This window comes from Homo sapiens, chromosome 10 (genome assembly GCF_000001405.40).
Source record: "Homo sapiens chromosome 10, GRCh38.p14 Primary Assembly".
Classification (NCBI taxonomy): Eukaryota; Metazoa; Chordata; class Mammalia; order Primates; family Hominidae; genus Homo; species Homo sapiens.
Genome location: NC_000010.11, coordinates 57,695,264 through 57,715,753, shown reverse-complemented (window position 1 = coordinate 57,715,753; position 20,490 = coordinate 57,695,264). Strand labels below are relative to the sequence as shown.

At 35.3% G+C, this 20,490-nt stretch overlaps 1 long non-coding RNA gene across 1 annotated transcript in view, besides 1 other annotated feature; it reads left to right on the top strand.

Moving 5' to 3' along the window:
* Positions 1-15,761, top strand: part of LOC105378314 (uncharacterized) — a 147,384-nt gene extending 131,623 nt beyond the window's left edge. Inside the window, exons 2-3 of the long non-coding RNA XR_001747454.1 lie at positions 14,369-14,434; positions 15,213-15,761. This is a non-coding gene — a long non-coding RNA (uncharacterized LOC105378314). The remainder of the gene's footprint in view (positions 1-14,368; positions 14,435-15,212) is intronic.
* Positions 8,356-8,889: an enhancer, noted in NCBI's record as "OCT4-NANOG hESC enhancer chr10:59466625-59467158 (GRCh37/hg19 assembly coordinates)". NCBI's record gives its function as "activates a minimal SCP1, AML or CMV promoter by ChIP-STARR-seq in naive H9 embryonic stem cells {active_cell/tissue: H9 hESC(naive)}" and the evidence as "EXISTENCE:reporter gene assay evidence [ECO:0000049][PMID:30033119]".
* Positions 15,762-20,490: the final 4,729 nt, after the last annotated feature.

Below are 20,490 nucleotides of genomic sequence, written 5' to 3'. Positions count from 1 at the left end.
CCTGTGGTTTTAGTACAATTGCATTGTGGCTCTACTACATTTAGATACATTTTTAAGAAGTAACTACTAACTGTAGATTTTTGAAGGTGAACAAACTTGAACCTCTGACATTATAAAAACAGATTAGAACCAAAGAATTTCTGTTTTCTACTGGGCAATTTTTTCCATCTAATTTTGAGTTGAGATCCTGAAGTCATTTGTTGAATTTCACAAAGTTATCTAGAGGCAGAGTTTTCAGGGAAGTGTTTCTGCTTCTATTCTTAGAGTGGTAGCAAAGCCGGGTGGTTAAAAGCCTGGGCTTTGAAGTAAAAAAAAAGCTTGGGTTTGAATCCTGACTTTATCACTGACCAGCCTTGTGACATTGGATAATCTCCCAGACTTAAGTCTCTGCAGCTGTAAAATGAGAGAAAAGGATAATTATAAGAAAAAAGGGAAAAGCTAGAATAAATAGCGTAGAGTTGGATTAGAATTGCAGGTGCCAGTATGAAATAATGATTTTATTTCTATATTTCATAGATAGATATAGAAGTGTGTGCAAACACATACACATTATATATATGCATATTTATGTGTGTATAACACACATACATACATAATATTCACAGCTCTAAGAGAACCTAGAAACAATGAAACCCCAGCCCCAATAAGCATACCTACTGTCCATAACTTGTTTTCTAAATTACATTTTTGAATAAATGGAACCAAGTTTCTTGGAAGAAATGGCTAATTTCAGGGCAGAGACACACAAAGTATATAATGAACATGTAACATTTTACACTAAATAAGTGCTCAAAAAAATGATAGAAGCAAGTCAACAGAACATAGGAGCCAATTTGAAAGAGATTTCTGTGGCCAAAGATAAAACAATGGAAGTACACAAAATAAATACTATTGACAATGCTTTATAACCTGTGGAATAATTATGAGTTCATATTAACATAAAGAAATAATTGAATAACCAATGTGGTGAAGGAAAGCTTCCCTTACAGGGGAATGTAGAAGGCATAATAACAATAGAAAAATAGCAAAGGAACATTTGATAAACACTACAGTAGTAATTGTTTCTTATAAGAATCATTAATGGTCTACTTGGGAGGCTGAGGCAGGAGAATCACCTGAAGCTGAGAAGTGGAGGTTGCAGAGAGCCGAGATTGTGCCGCTGCATTCCAGCCTGGGTGACAAGAGTGAAACTCCATCTCAATTAAAAAAAAATCATTAATGGTAAAAAATGAAGTGCATGAAAACATGATCAGAAATAAGGTATTTGGATATCCTCAAAGCATCCCTTGAAAATATTTATTAATTAAAAAGAATAGAATATCCTTTTTAGTAAAAATAAACAAAAAAACCCAAAGGACATTAAGTTAACATCTTCAACAATGGGACAATTTAGCATCATGAGCCTTCTTATATAAGAAGTACACTTCCGTCATATTTTTGCCAAAACTTCTGTAGTATTTTTGCCAAAACTCAATGACCTGAATTTTATCATGAGGATATATCAAGTGAACACTAAGCAGGCTCTCTCCCAGGCCTCTCCCAGGCTCTCTCATACTTTTGTCCTCTCTGACTTCTAGAACAAACAAGTCCCTTTTAAGGGCTTATCTAGATTATGTATCTAGATAATCTCCTTTTTTATTTTTCTTTAGAAATGGGGTCTTGCTATGTTACCCAGGCTGGTCTCAAATTTCTGCTGGCCTCAAGCGATCCTTCCACCTTGGCCTTCCAAAGTTCTGGGATTACAAGCATGAGCCACCAGGACTGGACTCACCTAGATAATTTTCTTTGTGACAAACCCATATCAACTGGTTAGTAACTGTTATGGGCTGAACTATGTTACCTCAAAATTCATATGTTGATTTCCTAACCCCAAGTGCCTCAGAATGTGACTGTATATGAAGATAGGGCATTTAAAGAGGTAATTAAGGTACAATGAGGTCATATGGATAGACTGTAATTCAACATGCCTGATGTTCTCTTAAAAATGATAGATTAAAACCCCTACCACACATAGACAAAGAAATGACCACGTGAAGACAGCCAGGGAACATGGCCATCTGCAAGGCAGGAAAGAGGGCTCAGAAAAAAAGCCAAACCTGTCAACAACTTGATCTGACTTCTACCTTCTGGAACTATGAGAAAATAAATGTTTGTGTTTAATCACTCGGTCTGTGGTGTTTTGTTTTGCTAACCTTATTAAAGGAATACAGTAACCTAATCATAGAAATGTTATACCGTCATATTTACAGGTTCTTCTTGCCCCCAAGGGAAGCGGATTATATAAGGTGTATACACAAATGGATGGAAAACTTGTGGACTATCTTAAAATTCTGCTTACCACAGTGACATATTGATGCTGTCTATATATATATTCATTTTAATTGATATTCAGAATAAACATCTCATCTAAATAAAAATTCAGAAGTGGATCCAGAGAGGAGTTAGAATTTTATGAGAAACATGATGAAAAAAGTAACATGTGAAGAGAATATTCAGAAGAATGTCCTGTAGTCTTAGGTCATTAAAAAAAAAAATCAAAAACAGTGGCAGAGCTTCCCCTTTAGAAGACTTTAAAAAGGCAATGCTTATTTGGTTGGACAAGTTTTGCTTTCTTCAAAATTCTTCATAAACAAACATAATCTATTAGCCTAATATTTCCATGAGCATTCTGTACTCACAGTTCAGCTCATAAGTCCTGCAAAAACCAGGTTATTTCTTTGATTCTTGAGGAGCAGAGTTACCTACTACATTCTACAAGCTTTATGCATAAATTTGAATTCTCCATAAAAATAATTTTCTAGGAAAATTTAAGAAAGGAGAGGCATAAGCAAAACTGGATCCAGAAAATTTAAAAAAAAGGATAAATTAGGTGATGTCACAATGTTCCTTCTCCATCTCAATTATATCTCTAGGGCTTTTGCCCTTCTATCTCCCATATTCCCTATTTTCTCCCCAAAGTCACCTAACCCACATTATTCTCAAGGAGGGGGTCCAGTAGTAGCAACTGATAATATTATTTCAATTAAAGCCACTGTATTACTTCTCCCAGGGTATTTGCTGTTTAAGTCTTCTTTCTTTATATATATATATATATATAATTTTTTTTTTATTATACTTTAAGTTCTAGGGTGGATTTTCTGCTGCAAAAGTCCCAGATATTTGCCTAGCAGACAGGAAATAACTTTGTGATTTTTTTTTTTCTGTTATATCTGCATTCAACTACTGACTAAACTCACTGCCTACTACCTAGATATTTGGGCTGCGTAAGTTCCAAGCTGCTTCTGACTGGACATGAAACATGAAGATGTCAACAGAAACACACATGTGTTCATTTACAAGAGGAAACTCCTATTTGATTTTTTCTTTTTTGTGCAAAATAGCTTAGGTTAACTGGGTTTTAATATTCTATTTCTAATTAAGAGTTTTGTAGCAGATGAAATCTACAATGTATCAATACTCATAGTACAATGGAACTCCTGTCCAAAACCTTTTATAAAATTGAGATTAACCACATGAAAAGCAGGTATGTTTTCCAGTGTCTTTTACTTTTAGATATGATTTGCATTTTAGCACTTACGTTTTATTAGCAGCTATCTATAATTTGCTAACAAATAATTCCATAACTTTTAAATGTAATTAAAATTTTAATTAAGTCTAAAAATTTTAATTAAGTCAAAGAATGGTATAACTATACATGATAACACAAAGAATACTGTTGAATTTAGGAGAAGATAGGCCAAATGGTGAGGAACTCTTCCAAGTAGATATTTCTTCATTAATTGCTTGAGTGGGGGTTGGTAGGTGGGATGAGTAGAGGGGCAATATTTTTTCATATGTAACTAGGCTGGGCTATAGTCTCAGCTACTGGGAGGCTGAGGCAGGAAAATGGCGTGAACCTGGGAGGTGGAGCTTGCAGTGAGCTGAGATCGCGCCATTGCACTCCAGTCTGGGTGACAGTACAAGACTCCCTCTAAAAAAAAAAAAAAAAAAAAAAAAAAGATTTATGTGTAACTATTTCCATGGGGACATGAATTGAAGATTTTCTCTGAAACTCTTATACATTCATGAGAATTCATTTATAAATTCTCAGAAACATGTTTGATTTAATAGAATTAGAGTTTTATTTTGAACATTGAAAACTTAGCTTTGCTCTATTCTACTCATTTACTTGAGTAGATTCAACTACCTCAGCCTCCCTACTAGCTGGGATTACAGGCCCGCTCCACCACATCCAGCTAATTTTTGTATTTTTAGTAGAGATGATGTTTCACCATGTTGGCCAGGCTGATTTTAAATGCCTGACCTCAAGTCATCCACCCACCTTGGCCTCCCAAAGTGCTGGAATTACAGGTGTGAGCCACCATGCCTGGCCTCATTTACTTTGTAATGTTTTACTTTATTTCTAATTGACCAATAATAATACATATTTATGTGGCAAAATGTGATGTTTTGGTGGATGTATACATTGTGGAATGATCAAATCAGTTTACTTAACCTCAAATATTATATCTATTACCTTAAATATTTACTTCTCTGTGATAAGAATATTAAAAATTCTCTCTTTTAGCTATCTTAAAATATACAATACATTATTATTGACTGTAGTCACCATGCTGTGCAATAGATTGCCAGAACTTATTCCTCCTGTCTAACTGAACCATACCCTTTGACCAAGGCCTCCCATTCCCCATCTATACCCTGCCCACCAACTTTCTAGATACCTCTATTCTACCCTCTACTTTTATGAGTTAGGCTTTTTAAGATTCCATTTATAAATGAGATCCTATGGTATTTGTCACTCTGAGCATGGCTTATTTCACTTAGCATAATGTTCTCTAGGCTCAACTTCATTAATTTGTATGTATCTTCAAGAAAGAGAGCTAGTTAAGGTACTATGTTAGTCCCATAGCTGCAAAACTGCAATGCAAAAACTTCTCTGTAGTGGAAAAGATCTTGGCTACAAAGCCTTTTCCATATCATGCAAATACCCTTTTAATTGTGGTATTCCTGTCTTCCTCTAGATTATTTTGAATGAGCTTAGATTAGCCAGCTGGGTCTTTATGCTGGTTGTGTTAGACAAATGCCTCTTTAAAGAGGAGAGTGCTATTCAGTTACATAAACTCAAATCCAGCAATCTCTTCTTTGCCATTAATTCTATTCCCAGCAAGAATGGGAAATAGCAGGAAAATGTGTAGGCCATTCTATATATCCTAATTCTCTCTCTCTTTTTTTTTTTTTTTGAGACAGAGTCTCATTCTATCACCCAGGGGAGTGTAGTGGCACAATCTCAGCTCACTGCAACCTCCACCTCCCAGGTTAAAGCTATTCTCCTGCCTCAGCCTCCAAGCAGCTGGGACTATGGCACATGCCATCATGGCTGGCTAATTTTTGTATTTTTAGTAGAGATGGGGTTTCACCATGTTGGCCAGGCTGGTCTTGAACTCTTGACCTCAACTGATCCGCCTGTCTTGGCCTCCCAAAGTGCGGGGATCACAGACATGAGCCACCGCACCTGGCCTATATCCTAATTCTCAAGAGGGCATTTGGCTCGTGGGAGAATAGACTTAAATGTTCTTGAATAAATGAAATAATTCCTAAGTTAATGAAGGGAGAATGGATAATAATTTGTCTTATCCCCTTTTTTTGCTGCTATAAGAAAATGCCACAGACTAGGTAATTTATAAAGAACAGAAATGTATTTCTTATCATTCTGGTGGCTGGGAAGTCCAAGATCAAGGTGTCCCAAGCAATAGTGTCTGCTGAGGTCTGCTTTCTGCTTCCAAGATGACAACTTGTTGCTGTGTCCTCAAACGATGAAAGGTGGAAGGACAAGAGACAACCCCCTTCAACCTCAATCCCAGTTTTAAGGGTGCTAATCCCATTAATGAGTGTTCCACCAAAGGCATCCCAAACTCTGCATTTCTTAATACTGCTGCATTGGGGATGAAGTTTCAACATTAATTTTGAAAAACTATCATAATTCAAACCATAGCATTATCCTTGAATTCTTTTAGAATGAGTCAAATGATTAAGTTTTCTTTTAAATAAGGAAATATTGTATAATGGGAAAATGTCATTTGAAAATGTAAATTTAATTTTCACCTGTTTTGCTTTCTTGCATTTCTGAATTCATATTGGGAAAAACCTACAGTTGATAAACACTGAATAAGTTTTCACTTAAGGAGCAAAGGGATAATAGTTTAGAATTTTCTCCTTATATGTAGCTCAGAAATGTCTAAGTTCATGTTTGTGTAATAAATTACAAGTGTGAAAAGTGACAAGTAATTCAACCTTGATAATTCACTTTCTTCATTGTCTTTTAATCCTAAAGTTGCTTTCCCTTAAACTAAGTTTTCTTAGCCTGTCTCGGAAGCGAAGCATCTGGAACCCAAATCTTATGATCCCTATTAAGCAAAGTGGCACTGAGATAATGGAAAGAAGGGAAAGATAATTAGACTAAACCCGGGTCAATATGCCAGTTTTTTTTTTTTCCAAAGTCTCAGTGACTGTGGCCAAGAGTCTTGAGACATGTCACCTTATTTATATCGGGAAAGATTGTGAAAGGCTTTAAAATGGTCAAGCAGATTATTGTGAGTCCTTTTAATGGAATACTAGACATTGTCTGGGGCACTCTTTTGAGTTACCTGCTTCTGCAGGGCTCTGTTCCTTTCACAGTTTTTAACTGAATTATTTTACAACTCTGTACATTTTGGACAATTGATAGTAATACAATTTATTATTGTCCATTTAAGCAAAGCTGAATTTTGTCCAGTGGAGATGCAATTCATTCTCTGCCTTACCTCTGTGGAAAGGCTCAGTTTTGTATACATTAGTAAATTGACATCAGTCTTTCTAATTGCCCATATGTAACTGTTATCTGAATTCTCCTTTTAAACAGGTTCAGTTTTTACATCTTACTGATTATAAACTAAATAAAATCACTGAGAAATTTGGCTCTTATATTTGTATGAGAGTCAAGATTTTATCTTTTCTACAAAATATATTTTTATAATCTTCTCTTCAAAATAAAACTTAAAGATTCAATTTGTTTTAATAGTTTCCTGATTTTTGGGGGGGACATATGTGTCTCTCTAAGCCTTGAAAACAGACATTATTGACTTCCTTTAAATAGTGAATATTTCAGAAGGTTGTTGAAATATCCCTTAAAAAAGACAGAATGTGGTCTGTTTAAGCCTCTTTGTTTATACACTGAATGCAGTAATAATACTTTATTATTATGGTGAAAATGATTTTCCCTTCACGGTTATATTTTAGTGTCTTCAGAGCCTACTCATCTGACTGTATGACTGTTAGAAGGACAGGGACAATATACAATTTTCATGCTTTGTTCTGAATTACCTTATCCATAAAAGCAAAATAATATAGATTGCAAAGTTGAGCTACGGCCTCGTTTTTCTTTCTCTTTTAAGAATCCACCTCTTTTCAGAAGTACCTTGCCCGTATATGTTAGATACCTCACGTGTCTCATTTCCTGGAACTGTCCTTCAGAAATAAATCCCATGTATCAGATTTTAATATTGGGTGTATTCGCCTCTCAAACGTTTCCCTATATCATTGCTTTTCAGTCTGCTTTCATGTTGTAAATATTTTTGTTATACTGGTCCCCTTAGAATCAAATGACCATGAATATAGCCTCATGTTATCAATTTTGGAGGCCTATAAATTTTCACTGATATTCCCAGAAACTTAAATGAAGTTCTAATGGTGGAATTTCAGGCAAATTGCCAGACTGACATTAGAGAAACAGTTCTCAGTATGCTTTCCAAATTATACCACATAGATGTTGTCTTATTCTATTTGTTTCTAATATTCTTCCTGTCTTAAATCACATTCTAGTGCTGATGACTAAATCAAATTATGTAACTATAGCCTTAATCAGGACAGTTAAAGAGAACCGGAAAAAGAAGAGATTAAAAATAACTTTTACTTTATTTATTTATTATTTGTTTATTTTTAAATTTGTCTCTCTGCTTTAAAATAGTGAATTCTAGTAGAGATGATTTGCTTTACTTTTTTGGGCACCCATACAATACTACAAAAATTTACACTGAATTTCTATAAGGTGCTCCTTTCTAAAAGTATTAAATTTATTTTAAAAATTCTGGTAGTTTCTCCTATATTTTCAGGTGGTGTGCTGGACCTAGGAGCTTGTGTGTGTGCCCATGGGGCACATACACACCTCTGTGTGAGTCTGTTTGTACATGTAGTTGTAAACCCACCAATAGACACAGTGGACAGGCCAAAGCGTGGAGTAGAGAGGGAATAAAAGGCATGGCTGTGTGAGGTCACAGGCCCTTGGGCTCCTATGGATTCACTGAAAAAAAATCATTGCTATGAGGCAGCTTAATAGGAAAAAAGGCATATAATGTATTTAACATGTATTCACGGGAGGCTTCAGGAGGAAGACCCAACCTGACAATAAGATACAGAAGCTTATATACCATCCTAAAGCCACAGAAACAGTGCAGACTTAGAGCATGGCCAGAAACAGTCTACGTTGGTAAATCAGGTTTAGTGGCAAGACAGGTTATGAGAGAAAGGAAGAGGCCTGGGTAGCCAAGGTGGCCTTGTTATGCAGATGAAACCTCATAGGTTAGCAGTCCTCAAAAAGAATAGATGGTAACTGTTTCTTTTCAGACCTTTAAATGTGTCCAAATCCCAATCTCTCCTAGATCCCAGGGAAATGCCTAGAAAGAGGAGGCAGGGCTGCATTAATGAAGGCTCTCTACAGACGCAAACTTCTCCCTTCTCTGTCTGTTGGCTCTGGGGCAGCCATTTAAAAATATTCAAAAACCATATTTTAGGGTAAAATAGTTTTATTTCATTGAGCTTCTTTGTCAAAATAAATTAGCCACTCTGTTTCATTGATTTTGAAATCAATGCATTTGATGAGCATCCCCTAGGAATGTGGAGAGAGGACAGCGGCTGCTCATTACCTTATCTCTTTACCCTCCTACCCGCTCACCCCAGCTAGTCCACGAGGCTGCTGGCAGTGTCAGGCCAGTGTGCACCCTTGCTGAGTGCTCTCCTGAAAAATAGGAAAAATGTCACCAAGGAAATGTACCTGTAGAAAGCAGCACAATACAAATTTTAGTTATTCTATAACTAAATTGGATTGAGTAGTGTATGCTGCTTATCCCCACTTTAGAGGAGCAATTGGGTCAATTATTAGATTCAGGACCATGAAAAGAAAATAAATTTAAAACTTTTAGAAAGGAGAATGTTGTAGAACTTCGGTGCAAATTTTTAAACACATATGAATGTTAGGTTTTCTTATGGGTATTGAGATTATAAGAGCAAATACGAATTGCAAAGAAGAGTCTTAAATCTCTATTGAAAATAAGAGAAGAGACTCCTCACCTCCTCCCTTTTCCTTGAACATTTACTTTAGAAAACTTGTAATTGTAAGGGCTTTCCCTGTCCCTTTGAAATGTATGTAAATCTTTTTACAAGCTGAATAAGCTTCTTATCAGCTTTTATACCTTCCTCAAGATCTGGGAACCATGCCTTCGAAATGTATACATCAAGAGAGACAGCATCCTTATCTTCCAGTTTCTGTGAGAATGTAGGAGCCTAACTTAGGCAAGTTAGTCCAAGTTTCAAAACTGCCTCATCATAAAGCATGTGATGTTTAATTTTTCACTGGATAAAGCCAATTAGCAAGCATAGGTTGTCTCCCCAATCACCAAATAAATTTAGGATGAGCCATGAGTGACATATTGGGCTGTTATGTCCTCTTACTTGAAGACTAGTTATTGTTTATGTTGAGAACCTTCCTGTAATGGTTATATCTGCTTTACAATACAAAAGGATAAGCTTTCTTTCGGCCTTTGCTGTCTGCTAGAGGATTGCCTAGGATGCACATCATATTCTTGTTGAATGTTTTTTCTTTTTCTTTCTTTCTTTTTTTTTTGAGATGGAGTTTTGCTCTTGTTGCCCAGGCTGGAGTGCAATGGCGCAATCTTGGCTCACTGCAACCTCCGCCTCCTGGGTTCATGCCATTCTTCTGTCCCAGCCTCCTGAGTAGCTGGGATTACAGGCACATGCCACCACACCCAGCTAATTTTTGTATTTTAATAGAGATGGGATTTCATCATATTGGTCAGGCTGATTTCAAACTCCTGGCCTCAGGCTCGGCTGGTCTTGAACTCCTGACCTCAAGTGATCCACCTGTCTTGGCCTCCCAAAGTGCTGGGATTACAGGCGTGAGCCACCGCGCCTAGCCAAATGTTTTTTCAATAATATTTTGTTTTGTCTTCTACTCTTATGAAGAGGTTTTCTGGATTGGGAGGTGATTTTGTTTTTAATTATATTTCCCTAATGTTGTTTTGGGTAAAAGCTTTTAAAGTGTATGCTAATAATAGGTAATATTTATTTAGCAGTTAGCAACGTTTGGTTCTACATTTTTTTGTGGGCAATGTTTATAAGGTCATCAGCCAATAAGTTCTTAAACCAGGATTTGAACCAAAGCAGAATGGATCTCTGGCACACATGTTTCACAAGTAGCTGTACTACAGAAAGCATGGGTGAGTTCCAGTTCACCATTTATTGTTGAACCCATCAAAGTTAATATAAAAATAAAAATAAAATGACAAGTTTTAACGACAGTTCAATCCCAAATTAAAAAGACTAAAGAAACATTAAATCCACTGCATTTTTGTTGATTTACATAATAATAATATTTATTTATAATCAGCAGAATTCTCATCAAGATGGTGTATACTGTATTAGGTTATTTATGCATAATGTAGTGGTTGGAATTTCCACTTGTCTTAATAAGTTTGAAAGACAGTCTTTTTCCAAGTGAATTACTTTAATTTGTTGGCAGGCAAGTTGGGGCTGCAGGTAACTTCTAATTCTCTCACGCTTCATATATATATATATATATATATATATATATATACGTATATATGTATATATACACATATATGTGTATCTCATATATATATGAGATACATGTATATATATATATATATGTATCTCAACGCTTATATTGGTAAGGAAATTATGAAAGCATTGAGAAAATCCCCCTGTTACCTTCAGTTGATTGTAAATTTTACTAATCTAATTCTCTGCTGGGCTCCTAAAATCTTTTAGATTTTATTTTCCTTTTTAGTATGCCTGTAATAGCCTATAATTTTTAAGAAAAGTTTTTCTTATCTCCAATTCTAAACACGCATCTACCTCTACAAATATTTTCTAAAATATTATTCTATTCCTTTTCATTTCCAGGAATAATAACTCTAGCACAATATATCATTATTTAGAGTCAATTCTCATTATTTGAGGTAATCATCTTCTACAAAGTCCCCACAAATACCAAATTAGCAAATATTTATTGAACAAATATTTTATATATATATATAGTTAATTCATTAACATATATATATATATATATATATATATATATATATATATATATATATATATAGTTAATTCATTAACATAAACTCATGGCCAAAAGCACTATACCTCATGCCTAAATGAAGCTGTTCTAATACATGCATATTCGCCCTAAGGAACATCACAGCCTTCTTGCTTTTAGGGACACTAGACAATACTTCAGCACTATGCTTGGGGGCCATTTTAAATAAGAAAATCACCAGGAAAAAGCACAAAAATATAAAACATATAGCAATAAATGGACTATGAAAAGGACACTTGTTTACAGAATGGGAGTTGAAAAAAGAAGGCAGAGAGTCAGCTTGCTCAACCTCATCTGGGAACATGTGCCTTGGATGACTCATATTTTTATCTGCTGTGAGCCTGTTGTGAAAGCATTGTGAGTACTGACTTTGGTCAACAAGTACATGTTAGCAAGTAGATGAATTAAAAAATACAGCATCTGTGAGTAACTAGGACAGACTGTATTTGTTTATTTATTGATTTGTAATTTGTTTACTCTACTGCACTGTAAATTCCACTAGGGCAAAGAATATGAATGTTTTCCACTAAAACATTATTAGAACTGATGCTGAATAAAATATTAAAGACGCAGCTATGTTTGGCCTTGATAGTTAGCCAAATTCTGAAATTTGACTTCAGTTTTGGCCTCAGACTTAGGAAGACTGAATTACTGAATGACTGTTTCAACAATGGTTCTGAAATTTTTAGTCTCACCAGTGATAAATGATGATGAAATCAGGTTGTTTAGCATCAAACTTAATCAGCATAGCCTTTTCAGTAATGTGAGCAGAGTATGTCTTTGAGATTTATTGTTAATCTGATTATTCACTTTAAACATAGGCAAGTATGCAATATATATTGGAGCAAAAATCTCCTTATGTCCTTTACATATTGAAATTCTATCTTTGTTAAAGTAAACTGTATAGTTATTATTGCAATAGTACAATCCTGCAATAATTAATGATACTTATAAAAGTTGTGCACTTTATATTCACAGTAATTATTAACTTTCAAACAGTTACATAGATCCTCAGTATGAGTATCAAAAGAAAGTCATACTGAATAACTTTATGAAAAATCTGCTAAATAACTTTATGAAAACTATCCTTTCAAAATAACAACATTTTTATATATTTAAATAATATAGACAGAAAATTAAGTGATCAATTTGTTTAGTTGCATACTATACTAGTATTTTAATAATAAACACATGATATTTAAGAACTGCACTTACTTTTTAATTCCTTGATTCAATTTAAGTCGTGTGTCATGAGTCTTGGGCATGAGTATAGAGAAGTAATCACTTCATTAAGGATATTATATGTTCTTCTAAGGGGCTTGGATTTTATTCTGAAGGGAATAAAGAGTCTGTGAAGCATTTAAAGAAAGGGATGTTGTGAACAGATCCAAATTTTACATTGATCACTTTGCTTTATGTAAAGGACAAATTTAATTTGACTGAGGAAAGATTCTGGGGTACCAATTATTAAATTATGCAATTACCAGTTAAAACATGATGGAAATGGTTATTCTGGGGAAATGTTTTGGAGATAAAATTAACATGTCTTAGTCTTTTATTTCATTTAAAATAAAGGAATAAATCAAAGATGATTTCATATTCTGACTTGTGTGACAAAGTGTATGATAATTTTATTCATTGAGATTAGATTAAAATCAGAAAAACCTAGTTTAGAGCAATTTGAAGTTTCCAGTTTTGAGCTTATTAATTATGAGGTATTAGTGGAAAGCCAATGAATATGTTTAGGAGTGTTATTTATGAATGTAGAACTTAAAAAGTGTTCAGAATATAGACAGAAATATAGATTGGAGAGTTGCCAACCTATAATTATTTAAATAATTAAAGTGAATTAAACAAATAATAACAAACATAAACAACAGTTGGGTAAGGTCATCCTGCCATCTAAGACATAAGCAGAAAGCATGTATAAAAGTGATTGAATTAAAACATCCTTCAGAGAAACATAAGAATGATGAGCATATGGTATCATGAATGTTGTTAGAGAGAGCAGAGAGTCTGAAGCATCGGAAAGAGCCAGAAAGTAACCATAGACGGTTTCATTGGATTGAGCAATAAGACAGGAACTGGAAATTTTGGACAGAATTGTTTCCACCAATGGTTAGGGGTAGGGATAAAGACAAAACTTCAGTGAAGTAAGGAGTGGGAAATCCAAAAGTCGATATCCCAAATATACCATTCTTATTCAGTATGTTTGCCTAAGAAAAATGGAAAGAGTTCCTAATCTTTGAATTTTTCTCTGATGTTTCTAGTATTGTTTTTTTCTTTTTCTTTCGTCTGTCACCAGTCTATTCCGGTTTCCCATTACCTCTAGCCTCAGCTACTCTAGTAAACTGTTAATTGGTTTCTCAAATTCTAGTTCTCACCTTAGCACTGAACCTACTGCTTTAGATTAATGTTTCTAAAATGTTGCCTTCATCATGTGATCTGCTTAAAAATATTCAGCATCTCCTCATTTTCCATGGAATTCAGGTCAGTCTTTTTAGTATCCCATTGAGGATCTTTAAAAATTTGATCCTAGACTACTTTTCCAGAATTATCTTCAGTAGTGTTCTGTATGTAACTTTTGGCCCAACAAAATTCATTTCTTTGCTCTATGTTCTGCAGACACATTCAGCCTTTATCTTTCTGCCTTTGCTTATACTAACTCAATTTTATGTCTCAAAATTTTACACAGTCTCCAAATATTAATTATTTCATACAGTCTTTCCTGATTTCCACTTTTGGGTTCATTTGGAAACTGATTTATAGCTTTTATAGGGCACTTACCATTTAATCTCTTATAGTATGTTGTTGGCTCCTTGGAGACAGAGAGCTATGTCTGTATACACACACATGCACACACATACACATATGTAGATCTGTATCTGAGCTATATTAGAGTCTTCTTTGTGTTCCCTACAGGGCCTAAATAGTGTTCCTTGGAGAGAAAATTACCCTGGGAATGAATAAACAAGAGCAATGCAAATGGTAAGAAGGGGAAGGGTGGTCTTTATCTTTCTAACTCAACAAAAATCCCTGTAGATTAAAGTTGTTATGAAGACAATATCCTAATCATTCAAGACACCTGTATGAAGGTTATGTTTCCTGAAATTTTCTTATATTGTTACATTGGATGATGATACTGTTAGACATATTTGTGTAAACACTTATGTTGGCCTGGAAGAAAAATAGAAGTTCACCCATTATTATTGCCTCTCCCTTTGAAGTGGCATAACCAGGCCTGTCTGTACCGCCATGGCAAAAGCAACATGCAACCCCCACTTCTGGGCTCTTCTTGGCCCTTTGCACCCACTAGATATACCCATGTTTTGGTGGTAACTTGTCCGCCTTTCTTCTGGTAACAGCAACACATATTTTTCTATGGAAACCCATTCTTTCCCACTCTTACTCTATATGGCTCTGGCTTGGCTAATGACAACCCACTCTCCCCAACTCGAAAATAAGCATGTGACCCAGACTTTGCTAACTAAAGCATCACAGCTTGTCAGCAAATGCATGACCCAGACAATCTCAGAACTTTAGTTGAAAAAATATACACCTGAAAAGCTAAATTTTCTAAAGTTACAGAGTATGTGTTTGAAGTTATTTTGTTCTTATCCCATTGTGGGGAGATTTGTCTTAGAAAAAAGGTGTTACAGAGGAAATCAGAGCAGACTTGAAGACAGATTGCCTAATGACATCTGAGCACCTGGATTGTGCTTTAACTGTATCTAAATGTGAGACACTAATTTATCTTTTGTGTTAGTTTCTTTTACATTAGATTCTTGCAGCCCTGGAAATCCTAAATAATAATCATGGCAATACTACATTTATAAGACTAAAAGATAGGAACTCAAGAAAAATTTGGTCATAGCAGTTGGTGAAAAAGTGAATTTAAGAGAAGTGACAAAAAGAACTACTTGGGGTAAGACCTATGAAGTATCTTAATAATTTTCTTTAAAATGTACAATAGTAGTTACTTTAAAAGAGAGAGGAATACCAAGGAGACTAGAATAATACAGAAAACCACAGGGCTCTCTGTAATTCTGTATCTCCATGCAAGGGCCTGCATTGTTTATCACAGTATCTACAGTTCCTATCAAACAGGGTAAATGTTTGATGAACGAATACCCTAATCTAAGAGGCCTGGGCATACTGCCAACTACCTAGAAAATTCAGAGGGAAGAAGAAAATTGTTATAGAGAAACAGAGCTCAAGAAATATTAACATCATATTTTCCTGAGAGAGAGAGAGTAAGCACAAATGTATCCCACTGCACCATGTGGTATAAGCTCAGGGGGTTACATAAAGGAAAGGAATCTGGTGTTTCAGGGTGTTAGTTTGTTCTGTGCAATGTTTTTAAAGTAAACTCTAGAGTAATTTTGTGATTTAAGAAGAAACTATTAGAATCTTAGGATGGTGAGAAAAGATAGATAAACATGTACTTATTAAGGGAAATAGTGAGTTTAATTTGGCCAATTAGTTATTTCATTGCATTCATTGGAGAATTCAATCTAATGAAGAATATGCCTAGGAAAATAATAAGATAAGAGTCTATACTGGGTTCAATAAAAATCTGGGGACTTAGATGAAGAGAGACTTTATTCAAAGACTACTGCAGTAGGAAGAGCTCTCTGATCTCAGAAATCTGCAAGTGCCTCAAAATCAAACACAAAGGCTTACTTAAAAAAAATAGGGAAGAGTGAGCAAGGATAACAGAAATTTTAAGGTGACACCTGGCAAGTGAGAAAAGGTGAGTACACAGCATGATGGGTCCAGACTGACAGTAAAGGTGTCCTCTCTGTGGTCAGCAGTTCTTCAGATGAGCTGTTTAGGGGACATGGCATTCAAGAATCAAAAGAGAATCAGCAAATAATTAATAAGAGGAAATTGATGCTCCAGCAAACCCTCTGAATATATTGCTCTGCCAGTGTAAAGAGCACTCTGAATTTGTGTGTCTTGACCCCATGCTATGATTGAATAATAGTATCCTAACAATAATAATATAAAATAATAATCAGAACCAACAAATATTGAAAACTGTATGTCAGGCACATTATAAGTCCTTTACCTGTGTAATTTAATCTTACAGTCATCAAATGAGGTATTCTTTTTTCTCAATTTTACAAAACAGGGAACTGAGAAACAGGTTAAATATTGGACAAACGCCATACTTTACCCATAACTAGTATTAGATGTCAAGAAAAGGAGAACAGATATAGATAGATATTTTTGGGAGATATTTTGCTGAGGGTATGGTAAAGCCTGAAAAAATGTTTCTAATCTACTGCAGAAAATCCTCTCTGATGACCAAATATTTCATATCCCCAGATTCAGCATCTAGTCCAGGTTCATTGCTGGGCATTATTAAGAAAAAAATATCAAAATTGGAATTAATGGATAATATGGTTTGGCTCCATTTCCCCACCCAAATCTCACGTTGAATTATAATCCTGAATGTTGGAGAGGTGATTGGATCATGAGGACAGACATCCCCCTTGCTGTTCTTTTGATAATGACTGAGTTCTCACAAGATCTGGTTTTTAAAATTGTGTGGCACGTCCCCCTTTATTCTTTCTTGCCCCTGCTGGCCATGTGATGACATGCTTGCTTCTCCTTTGCCTTTCGCCCTGATTGTAAATTTTCCAAGGCCTCCCCAGCCATGCCTCCTGTACAGCCTGTGGAACTGTGAGTCAATTAAATATCTTTTCTTCATAAATTACCCAGTCTCAGGCAGTTCTTTATAGCAGTGTGAAAATAGACTAATATAAGGACAAAAATGACTTCAGATTTAAAAAATGTACTAAAACATGTAAAATATCCATACAGGAATTATTAAATTCTAGGGAGGTGTCTGTGTACCTTTGTTTGACTTATTTCCTATTGATAAAAATGCTCTGTGAAGCTATATGTTAACTTGTAGATTTTTGTTCAGTTCAGATAAAACTGATTTTTGTGCGGTAGAAAAGATAACCTAGGAGATTACAGTTTTATTGTCCTAAATGATATTACAAGTTTTGTAACAACTTTGCAATAATATTTTAACATTAACTTTTTAATTGGAAATAAATATTCACTGTCTCAAATTCTTCTTTGTACCAGGATACTATCTCACTTGAAAATTATACTTTCAGCATATGTTGACTGCATTTACTTATTTTGACTTCCCTTTTTAAACATGTCACTTTCTTTAGGGCATACTTTTTTTTTTTTTTTTTTTTTTTTTTTGAGACAGAGTCTTTCTCTGTCACCCAGGCTGGAGTGTAGTGGCATGATCTCAGCTCGGTGCAACCTCTGCTTCCCAGGTTCAAGGGATTCTTCTGCCTCAGCCTCCCAAGTAGCTGGGACTACAGGCATGCACAATCATGCCCGGCTAATGTTTGTAATTTTAGTAGAGAACAGGCACGCACAACCATGTCCGGCTAATGTTTATATTTTTAGTAGACATGGGATTTCACTATTTTGGCTAGGCTGGTCTTGAACTCCTAACCTCAAGTCATCCACCTGTCTTGGCCTCCAAAAGTGCTGGGATTACAGGCATGAGCCACCACACCTGGCCAGGGTATACCTTTTTTTAGATGAATTAATATCTATGACTACGATACAGCTGAACTTATAGGCTAGGAGATATCCTTTAACTTTACTCAGGATATTTACTTAATTAGTTTAATTCATAGGACTTTATTTCTCTCCCTCAAGTTAAAATCTCTATCCTTTCTAAAATTAGGATATGAATATGAAACATTTATAAATGAATTTCAACAAGCTATTTAGAAATTATAGTGTAGTAGTCTTGAACTGGGGCCGAGGAAGCTGCATTTTAGTAAGCACGAGGTGTCTTACACTTATTGTGGCAACTCAAAAGTCCTGCTTGTCCGTCGACCTGGTCTGAATTGTTGCTGTTTCTTATTTAATGATATCCAGAGTAGTTATCTTGTCAGTGCAACTGAAGTAGTAACTGTTTCATTGGATCAATGGGTCTCCTTGTGAGTAGCCTCACGCTTATAGAGGCCAGTATTTAAACCACGTCATTGAATATGAAAAAATTGCTGTCTATCTGGTAATCTTGGGTTTGGTTTGGATCTACACTGGGCAAGGGGTATGAATAGAGATGTGGTTTTTGTAGCAGATTGACTGTTAATGTCTGAATGTTCAATCCATGTGGGAGGCTACAGTATCAATACACAGATAAAATGCAGGTTTAGTCTCAGCTGATTGTATCAGACTATAAGGACCAGGATCAGGCAATGATTTCACGCAGTGCCACAACCAGCAAGATATTCTTGCCTCTCATCCCAGGGAATGACTGCTCGCATCTCTTCTGGATTTAAGCAGTTCTTTAGGTTTGAATGACTAGGGCTAATAAGTTCCTGTTTCTCTACAGAGCAAGGCAGAATTTTCTGTGTAAAGAGAATTGCCCTGGAAGTCTAGTTCCTCTGGAATGTTCTCATGGTTAAAGTCAAACATTTATTACATTCTTCTAACATTACTAGTTTTTACTGTTGCCCCATAGCATTATTTTGAAAAAGTTAATTCTTAACAGGAATTTATGACTTCATTTTCCATAAGTGAAAACAAAAATACCTTGTCAGCCATTATTTAATACAATTTCCCAGCTTTTCTTATTTGGTTCTTTTTAGAATTAAAAAAAAAAGCCTTATCTCTGAAAATACGGCCCTAATATTTATAGAAAACATGATATGGAAATTGTTACTAGCTTGGACATAAAGCAGTAGAATAAAAACTATTCATTTAAAAGATAATCATTTCTTTTCTTTTCTTTTTTTTTTTTTTTTTTTTTGAGATGGAGTCTCGCTCTGTCACCTAGGCTGGTAGGCTGGAGTGGAGTAAAAGTGGCACGATCTCAGTTTGCTGCAACCTCTGCCTCCTGGGTTCAAGCTATTCTCCCTGCCTCAGCCTCCTGAGTAGCTGGGATTACAGGCACCCGCCACCATGCCTAGCTAATTTTTGTATTTTTAGTAGAGATGGGGTTTTACCATGTTGGCCAGGCTGGTCTCAAACTCCTGGCCTCAAGTGATCCACCCACCTCGGCCTCCCAAAGTGCTGGGATTACAGGTGTGAGCCACCGTCCCTGGCCATCATTAATTTTTGTACAAGTGTAGAAAAATATAACAGAGGACTGAGAGCTATAAAACCTAGACATTGAATTGAATAAGTGCTAAATTTTCTTTGAGGGCAATTTTTACTAATTTACAATTCCAAACTTTTCCAAACTTCCAAAACTTTTCTCTTTATGTACTCAGTAATTTGTTAGCAGGCTGTATTTTTCACTTTTATGTATACCTTACCAAATGAGGTCCAGAGACAATATGTATCTTTCCATTTTATTTTTATAATATCCATACTGACTAAATAGTCCAATCAGGAAAAACAACAGACCTAACTTTTAGCTACTATTTTTTTCCCATTTAATTTATGTTTGTCTTGCAGAACAAATCCAAAATTTCCCTTTCTTTCTTTCTTTTTTTGCTTTCTTTACTATTTGAGTCATTACACTCTTGAATTGACTTATTTTGTCTCTGTGTATATTATACCCTAACTGTTTATTTTTTAGTAATAGTCAAATGGTTGAAAACTGAAAAAATAAAGGAGGAGGATAACTTATGCCAATCACTGGTACCTCAGTAGAGCTCACCCCCTACTATTCTGCCTTTGCATCAAATAGACAAATTATTCACTTGGCTGGTTCTGCTAGTATCCATGAATCTGAATTTTCTTCAGAATTTTGGCTTATGCTGGGCGTGAGATCATTATACATTTTAACTGCTTATTATGTCCTCTTGTTTGTGGCAACCTGAGTGCACAAATGGTCTATTTGTTGAGGCTGAAAATAGAAATACCAGCAGGGAAGACAAATACTAGGACCTGAATAGGATCTCTGGGGATTTCTGACTAACACACTATCTCTGCCATGAAAGTATTCTGGAAGGGAATATCTAGTCTTTCTCTATGATTTTACATCAAGAGGCCAGGAATGAATCCTAACTATTAACCCATCAACAGGTATTTAGTAAGCACTGAAT